Source organism: Homo sapiens, chromosome 12 (genome assembly GCF_000001405.40).
Source record: "Homo sapiens chromosome 12, GRCh38.p14 Primary Assembly".
Taxonomy (NCBI): Eukaryota; Metazoa; Chordata; class Mammalia; order Primates; family Hominidae; genus Homo; species Homo sapiens.
This window is the reverse complement of record NC_000012.12, coordinates 77321628-77331392: the sequence shown is the minus strand read 5'-3', so window position 1 is coordinate 77331392 and position 9765 is coordinate 77321628. Positions and strand designations below refer to the sequence as shown.

The following is a 9765-nucleotide window of genomic DNA, read 5'->3' as shown; positions in this document are numbered from 1 at the left end:
GCCAGGATGGTCTCGATCTCCTGACCTTGTGATCCACCCACCTCGGCCTCCAATAGTGCTGGGATTACAGGGGTGAGCCACCGCGCCCAGCCATTCATGGATAACTTTCACACTATATATATAAAAAATAGGTTAAGATAAGCTTTTCTAGAAACTCAAAAATGGGATGCCCTCTTACCCTTTACCTGCCCCCTGCAAAAAAGAGTTTTCTTTTTTTCTTTTTTTTAATTTTTTTATATCCATAGGTTACTGGGGAACAGGTGGTGTTTGGTTACATGAGTAAGTTCTTTGGTGGTGATTTGTGAGATTTTGGTGCACCCACCACCCAAGCAGTATACACTGCACCCTATTTGTAGTCTTTTATCCCTCACCCCCTTCCCACCCTTTCCCCAAGTCTCCAAAGTCTGTTGTGTCATTCTTATGCCTTTGTATCCTCATAGCTTAGCTCCCACTTATAAGTAAGAACATACAATGCTTGGTTTTCCATTCCTGAGCTATTTCACTTAGAATAATAGCCTCCAATCTCATCCAGGTCACTGCTAATGCCATGAGTTCAAAAGAAAGAGTATTCTTATCTCTTAGGCACCTGGTCATTGTTTTCAGCTTGAGACTATAAGGAAAAACTAAGGTAGAGAGGGGGAGATGGGAAAAGGAGGAGACGAGATCACAGTTCCTACATAAATAAGCACAGTATTACAGTTTATGTTCAGACTTTAAAAGAAAAATCAATCTAAACAGAAAATAACTGTGGCCTTCCTGTGCATTTCAACATCAGCAGTATGAACATCAATAATATAGAAATTGATATGTAATGAATATATGCTACATGCTGGTTGCTCTCCTAAATATTACATTAATATATTCTCTCACCTAATCATCACAAAAATTCTTCTCTACAACAATTTTACAGATGGGGATACTGAGACTCAAGAAGTTTACCCAAGATCACCTATATAGTACGTGGAAGAGTACGAATTCAAACTCAGAAAGACTCCTCCAGAAGCTACATCTTTAATTGCTGGGCAATACTGCCTTAAAATGGACTGAGGTGTTTTTGATCAATCAGGGTGTTTGATACATCTTAATAAGGTAGCATAAGACTGTGTTCAATAACAAATGCTTCTTTTGATCGGGGGAATAAATTCCCAAAAAATATGATTTTATGGTCATATTGGCAGTATTAATGTATAAAAGGTACCATTGATTCTTCAATGTTTTGTCTACAAACCTACCAAAAGCCACCAAGGAAGGATGGGGACTTAGATCTTTTCCAATAGAGAAAAATGAAAGCTGGCTATAAGACCCAAAAATCTATTAATATACATAAATAGATCACATATAAATATATACTAATCAAGATGAAAGAAATAATACTTAAGGTTTGTTTCAAACCTTCCTGGCTATACCTGAACTGTTATAAATCACTTGTCAAAACACTGACTTCCTATTCTCAAGAAAGTTTTTGCTCTATGTCACCAGCAATGCTTCCAGATCTTGAAGTCTCTAGGTCCTGATTATCTGAAGTAGTTAAAATGTGCACAATTGTTACAAAAATGTTGCATAGATTAGCAAAAAGTGTCATTGTACAAGCGTTGTACAATCTAATGATGTGAACAAGCAGCTTTTAAAGTCTTTGCAGGGACTGGGCTTATTTCTTGTGAACATTGTGAGATCATTCTAAAATAAGAGAATAGTAAATACATATAATTTTAAAAATCTGGAGTTTAACAAGGCCATTGGGTTACATAACCAACTTTAATGATGCATTAAATTCAGAATCTGTGCTATTGCAATGTTCGACCTGAGACTTCATCTGGGACACCGAAGGATGATGACCTATGGAAACATCAGCACCAGAGCCTCATATCAGATATCGCAGTTGACAGTCAGACTTGGGAGAAAAAATGAAGTCTGTGCAGAAAGATAGCTCTGGGGATTTTTCCCATCCTGAGGTCCATTTAACCTTTCAGGAACTTACTTTTGCTTACAAAATGGGAGAAGGGAAAGAAATCTTACATGGTTAGAGTGGGGGAAATGTATTCCTACTTGCAGTCACATAAGTAAAAGGGTAATGCTTGCTGGATTTATTATGCATATTATGTGATTCATCCTTGAGCATATACTGCCTTTATCCATAGAACATAGAGAGCAATATATTAGCCTTCTGAATGGAAGACAAAAATGCATCATTGCCCATTCATCAATGGTCCAAGGAAGTATCTCCAGTCTCTATTCAGAAGTCTTTTCTGTTTCCTCCGAGTGTATCATTTAGTATCCATTACTGCTACATATGTGCACCTCTGTGTCTGTGGTTATGTCCTGTGTGTTTAAGAATTCATAACAGGAAAGATTATGCTCATTTTTCTTCTTGAGAAAACAAAGCTAGGTGACATCTGTGAATAAACAGGCCAACACTGCAATAACTGAAACAGTAAGAAGTAGGAACCTAACCCTGGCCTTCTGGCTTCTACTTCCATCCACAGCTCCCTGAATCTCAACATTCCTCATGTTGGCACCACCTCTTACGTCTGATTCTCATCCTAATGATTCCTGCTACACACAAAGTCACATGTGCACACTTCTCTATAAGTTATTTTCTATTAAAAAGATAGCATTAAACCTCTGTCTTCTGAGAATTTTATAACACCCCTCAAGTACAGCAGGTCGTGGAACGACATCATTTCATTCAACTTCGTTTCATTATAATGTTGCCCAAATGTTGATTCCTGGCTGGGTCCACTGTCTGGGTGGAGTTTGTACATTCTCCCCATATCTGTATGGATTTTCTCCAGGTACTCTTGCTTCCTGCCACGTCTCAAAGATGTGCATGGTAGGTGAATTGGCACATGTAAATGGTCCCAGCCTGCGTGTGGGCATGTGTGAACGTGCCCTGCAACAGGATGGTGTCCTGTCTAGGGCTGGTTCCCGCCTTGTGCCCTGAGCTACTCGGATAGGCTCCAGCCACCTAAGACCCTGAACTTAAATAATTGGGTAAATATTGATCTGGTTTATAGTAACCTTTCTTACATATATACATAGTTTACATGTATTTGAATGCTTAATATTGAAGTGTTTTGAGAAGTTTGGAAATGTTTTTGTGACCAGAAATATGCCATGGGAACTTAAGTCTTGTTTCTACCAATTAGCCTGTGATAAAAGTGTTTCATTATACTTCCTTTTGCTTAAAGTTGCAGTTTCCAAGAACCTATCAAGTCAGTTAAGTAAGGACTTACTGTAAGTGAAGAGCAAAGGGACAGACACTGCAAAACAAGGCTTGGGAGATGTAGTTCTGACTAATGTCAGAAAGTTAACATTCATCTATACAAAAAAGCCAGTACATTAATTCTTTCCATATCAAGTCCCCGAGTGCTAACAAAGTACGGGTCCATGTCCACACTTCAGCTTGCACCCAGAACAACCACTTCCTGTTGCCATGAGTTACAAGTTGGGTCACTTGGAGTCCTCCAGACAACTTGAGAGGTACAGCAATTTCAGAATTAAGAAAATATATTCTTGGTAATTAGCAGTGGTCAGCAATTCAGTCTATTAAAATATTAGATCAGAAATATTTGCTAATCCCTCTGTATAAAAATATGACTTGGTAAGTAAACTTGAGGAATTTTTTTCCTATTATAAAAAAATAGCTCATCATTGCCAACCTTTCGTTAAATGATCCATGCACAGAAGAAATCACAAGGGAAAAAATGGTTTCAGGATCAATGTACTATAAATAAGAGAAATTTGTGGCTTGTCACTAACATACCTTTTAACTTCAAATCACATGACAGTTAGAACAGACTTTGTTAAATCCTTCACACAAACACATACACACACACACACAGTCACACCAAAATATAAGTGACCAAAAGGGCATGACATCTCAAACCAAGAACAAGAGAAAATGAATATTTTATTGCACCTACAATTAAATGTGCCTTCAAATTCCAGCCAACCTGCCAAAAGCATCTTGTAAATGTGTCAGGAAAACCCACCCACCCAGGGAACACCAAAATTGGAAGTCAGATAAAAACAATAATGCAGGACCATTACTACTATCACTGTTCACTAGAAAAAAAAGAAATTTTAGAAGAAGAACATGCTATTTGGATTTCAGTGGCAAGGGAATTTTAAGTCTTTTGTAAATATTCAACTGAACTGGATAAATATGATCTTGGGTACGAACAGCATTAGGTGCAGAATTCAGAAAATAATACATTTTCAGTGTACAGCCTTTAAATTGGCTAAAAACAAAGACAACAACTGTGTGGAGTGGCATGCCAATAATTACTTCTCTTGGTTTACGTACATATCTTCTATTATATCAGTAGTCTCCCTTCTGCCTGATCTATTCTCTGCCCTAAGATCCTTTATCCTATATTAATAGTTGAATTTAAAAGACAAATGTGCAGACAAAGGAAAAGAGGCAAATAGAGCTCTCTCAAACTGAGACTTTTTTCTATATAAACTATATGCACCTCTAAAACAGAGCGGAGGAACCTCATTGATTAGAATCATTTTTCCACGTGAAATATTTTGACCTCGGGAAAACTTGAGCAAAACAACTAGATTTTTTTTTAATAAAAAAACCAGAAATAAAATTTTTATGGACAAATAAAAGTCCTCCTGGTTTTTGCCTTTGTTTTCACATGATACAGACATCTTATGTTTCAAAGAAAAAAATATATAACCATAGTAAGGAAGTGCCTTAACAAAAACAAGGCAGAATAGGTTCTAAACTAGAGTGGATCATTTTTAAGAAGTACTAATTTATACCTACCTAGTTGTACCCATGCTAAGAACCAAAAACAAACTAAAAGCCTGGTTTCATTGTATTTTCATGTTTTCAGTACTACAGTCTGAATTTCGATATTTCACAAAAGAGTTGCTATGCCTTTATTCTTTGGCAAGGTCTGCCTGGCTCTCCAGTTTTCTTAGGACCCTGTACCAGAGGTTGCCACTCCAGCCAGCTTGGACGTTGGAAGCTAGAATCTGAACCTTAATTATGACCCACTCGTTCCACTGACTGGGTAGTGCAAACGTGAGTGATGTTCAAAGACGAGAAAATTAAGATAATAGAAGTTGCCTGCTCCTTAAAAACTGGAGGACAAGAACCTGTCTCCCAACTTTCCTAAAATTAAATGTCAAAGAGGGAGAAGAGTATATCAGTAATTTAAGAGGGAAGTTTATCTAGAATAAGGCCAGATTTTTTTTCAAAGCTACATTTATTTATACCCATGGCTTATGTGGGTTTAAAACAGATGCAGCCCTTACAATACATGTCATACTTGGAGCACGGAAGCTACCTGCAGAACTGATTCTGACATACAGGCGCCTAGCTTAGAATGCATTTCTGTAGAATTCAGGGAGATCAATAGACTCGGGAAACAAATATGTTGATGGATGAGGACGGGTCTGAAAACGACCAGGCTGAGGTGACCACGCTGCAGGTTTCACAGCTATTCCACGTTGGTAGAACGAAAGGGTTACAAACGATTCCCCTTTCTTTAAAAGGGAAAGGAAAAAAAGGAAATGAGGGGAGAAAAAAAGAGGAAATGGAAGGAAGAGAATGAAGCGAGTGGTGAGTAAAGGAAGAAAGAAATGAGGACGGGGAAAGAGAAAGAGAGAATCCCGAAGAGGGGCGGGGGAGTGGGAAGGAGAGCTATGATGTATGGACGCTCACCAGCCACCAGCCAAGCGCTCCATCACCCCCAAGCCTGCATCCCTCCCTCACTCGTCTGGAGACCTCGGGTTCCGCCGCCCTGGCGCTGACAGCCCTCCCCGTGACCCCGGCGCAGGCCACGCCGAGATGCCCAAAGTGGCCCACCGCAGCCAGCCCATCCGAACCCGCCACTCCCAGGACCGCGCTGGCCACCCCCATCCCCGACGTCCCCCCGCACCCCCATCAGTAGTGTCAGGGGAAAAGCCGAGAAGAGTGCAGCGAAGAGGAAAAAAATAAAGAAGGGGAGGGGGCGGGGGAGACGACCAAAAACAATTTTTAAAAATAATCTCATCATGGGTCCTGGAGAAGCAGCAGGGAGGAGACCCGTGACAGGCACCTGGAAATGAACACGCTGTTGCAAATACCCCGGGCTCCCTTGGGCTGGGCGATTTTCCACAAAAGGAACTTTGCAAGGAGCGCAGCGGTTTGCAATGGAAGAGGAGGAGATCGCAGCGTTACCTGGCCGAGGTCTTGCCGGCGGGCCGCGGAAATCCTCAGGTTTGCGATTTTGAGCCACTTGATCAGGTTACTATGGAAATCGTCTTAAGGAGATGGAGAAAAAAAAGAAAAACCAACCGAGGCACATTCTTGTCACCCAGAAAGAAACTGCTTGGGCCGCTGAGAGCGGGTGCGGGACCGGGCGCGGGACCGGGCGCGGCGCCTCTCCCGGCCCGGCTCGCTCTTTCTTCCCTCCTCCGCCGGGCCGCGCCTCCCCGCCCCGCGCCGCCGCCACCTAGCAGCCCGCGGGCCGAGCCCAGCTCTCCGCGGCGCGCAGCCGGGAGCGAAAGCGCGAGCTCGCTCTCAGCCTCCAGCCGGCCTGGGCGGCGAGTGGCGCTGTTTCCCAGCCGCGCAGCTGGAATTTAAAGAGACAGGCGCGTCGCGGGGTCTGGGCCCTTGCCCAGGAGAGGAGCCCACGGGAGGCCCACCGTCTTGGAACCGCGCGGGATGGACGGAGCGGGCCCTGCGAGAAAAGTTTCCTGCGGGAACGGCGGGAGGAGCGCCTGAGGACCAGCCTCAGCTTCCTCTCCAGAATGCAGAACACAGGCTGCAAGGAGAGTAAGAGGGATTTTTTTTCCTCCCTTGGAGACTAAGGGGGAAATGATTTGTATGCTCAACAAGTCTTGCATCTATTTTCAGCTGCTCTAGTTTCCGTCCATGAACACCGACTTATTTTCATTGAAAGCACACCTACAAACGGGGGATGGGCTGGGGGTGGGGGGTGGGTCACTCTTCATTTTATGTCCTACTAAACAGAGAGGCATGGGTTTAGAGGAAGGTGGTGATGGGAAGATATAGCTGTCAGATATCTGGGATTTTTTTTTCTCTTCCTCTCTCAGCCAGAGAAGCGTCTCCTTTTCTCTCCCCTCACTCCGAATCCTGTAGGATAGACTTGAAGGTCTATTGAACCTTTACTCCAGGATTATCCACAGGCTCACCTGCCCGCCTACCGGCACCTTTTCTCTACAGCTAGGAAGGCAGGTCTACTTCTATTGCTGAGAAGAAGCAAGATCCAGCAGAAAGAGGAGTCTAGCCTGGCCCTTTTCTATTCCTAGCTGAAAAACAGCTTTCAGTGGGCAGGTCTCTCACTGTTTCACTGTTACAAATAAGGCTCAGATCTCAACTGCTGACACGCAACCCAAACAGGATGTGCAGACCAATTCACATGGTTTGAGACCACCACATATTTGGAGAACCTGAGGAATTATGATGCAATCCATTTATTTTTCTGTCCTAACCATCACCTTTCATGCATGATATTACTAAACAGTCTCTGAAGTACTAGTTCAACTTGAATCCCTCCCCTGGAGAAGAGGTAGTAAGGGGACTCTCCTTATGGTCTTGTCTAGATCAACCAAACCGATTCCAGAGTCACTCTGGCATACAGTAGTAGACGCTCCATACATATGGATGGCATTATCAGAAAAAAAAAGTGAATCTAGATTACCAACACCTTGTGGGCAGGATTCATAGAGTATTCTGTGTTCTATCTTAGACTATACATTTTTATGAGCCCTACACATAGGAAGGATGCTACATTTTAACTCAAGTGTCATAAGCTTCTTTCCTGTATCTCCCTACCAACTTAACCTCCAGTCCTCTCACCTCCACCACGCTTCCTTCATGTTGCTCTTCCACCTTGCTTGCAGAGCAAGCCTTCCAAATAAATATTACGAGTCTTATATAACATCTTTATATATATCCCCATTTCCTTCAGGAAAGTGACCACATTTCTTGTTAGGGCATAGAACAGTTTCTTAGCCCCTTTGTGCTGCCATTACAAAATACCTGAGACTGGTTAACTTATAAACAACAGAAACTTATTTCTCACAATTGTGGAGGCTGAGAAGTCCAAGACCAAGAGGCTGGCAGGTTCTGTTTCTGGTGAGAACCCAGTCCCTGCTTCCAACACTGTGTCCTTACATGGACAAAGGGTAAAAGGGCCAAGGCTTTTAATCCCCTTTATAAGAAAGGAGACTTCATGATCTGATCAGCTCCCAAGGGTCCCTCCTCTTAATACTATAACATTGGAGATGGTTTCTACATGAATTTTGGAAGGACACAAATATTCAAACCACAGCAAAGAGTGTTTCTCAAACTTTAGCATGCATTGCAATCACCTGTATGACTTTTTTAAAAATTTGTAGGCCTCATGCCCAACTTTTCTTATTCAGGTGGTCTAGTCCAGGGTGATGTATAAGAATTTGTATTTCTAACAAGATCCCAAGTGATATCATGCTACTGGGCTGGGAATCACACTGTGAGAAACACTGGCATAGATCTTTTGTGATCTAGCCCCTACCTACTCCTGCTTCATCCCTCACACCTGCCCCTCAGTTCCCAAGCAGGTCAAACTTAATAACTTATTCCATGCTTTCTCATATAGCACCAGCTTACCCCTACCTGTACGTATGCTGTTCTCACCCCATCTGTACATGTGCTGTTCTCCACCAGGAATTCTCTCACATTCCCAACCCAACTCTTCTCCACATCCCACACCACCACATCTGGGTAACACTTGCTCAACCCCTGAGACTAAACTCCTTTGGAATGCCTCCACAAACACTCCCAGATCCTACAACAAAGTTTAGGTGCCATTTCTCTGTGCTGCCTCTATACCCACTTTTCACACATTAGGAATAATAATAGTACATTTATTTGTCTGCTTCCTCACTAGAATGTATGTACTAGGGGAAAGGATGGCAACTTATTTATCCCTGTATTCCCAAGGGTCTAGCACATTGGCTGAGACTTTGTAGCAGCTCAATAAATGTTCAGGTAGGTAGGGGAGTGAAAGAGAATGAGAGCGGGAGAAGAGAAACAAGGTTTTTGTTGTTGATGATTGTGATGATGATCAAAGACAAAGTTCGTGATAGTACTAGAAAGGACAGAGATAGAAAGGAGAATTAATATTTTTGAACTCCTTGTACTGTATGTATCAGGTACTGGGTTAAATGCTTTGCATGTTACCTCATCTATTCCTTAAAACACCTTGCAAGACAAATATTATATTACATATGAGAAATCTAAGACTTGGAAAAGTGAAGTTGCTTGCTCAACATCACACAGCTGTTTGGTGGCTGTTGCAGAACTGAGGGAGGGATGATTTGTTTGATTTACTATAAGCAGCACAAAGGCAGTTTTCCACAGGTATAAGTAAGTTTCATGTGTATTGTAAATATTCATGAGCATTTTGTTACTTTGGTTAATATTACTTGAGCTCTCACCACCCCTCTCCCAGAAGGGGTCTCCCTCACAGCCTAGGGTAGGAACCTCTAAAGCTTTACTGTGGCTTCCCTGACTCAGTAGTCTACTGAAGTGCAGTCTCCTCAGCGGATGTAAGGGGCTCCTCTGGCCTCTGTCATTTCTGTGCAGTCTTGCTCTACCCTTGTACCATATCCTTAGTGCTGTGTAAATTTGTAAAAGAGTCAAGCAAAGCAGACAAGTATAGTAATCCATTATGGTGATGGGGCCAGACTCCTTTGCTTGTCTATATTTCTGCTCTAGTGTATCTTACTATAACAGAGATAACCATTAACTGGCAAGAA

The 9765-nt window shown here is 42.4% G+C and overlaps 1 annotated feature.

Annotated features, from left to right (window-relative positions):
* Positions 6368-6427: a silencer, noted in NCBI's record as "silent region_4678". NCBI's record gives its function as "represses an Ori minimal core promoter by ATAC-STARR-seq in GM12878 lymphoblastoid cells {active_cell/tissue: GM12878}" and the evidence as "EXISTENCE:reporter gene assay evidence [ECO:0000049][PMID:35858748]".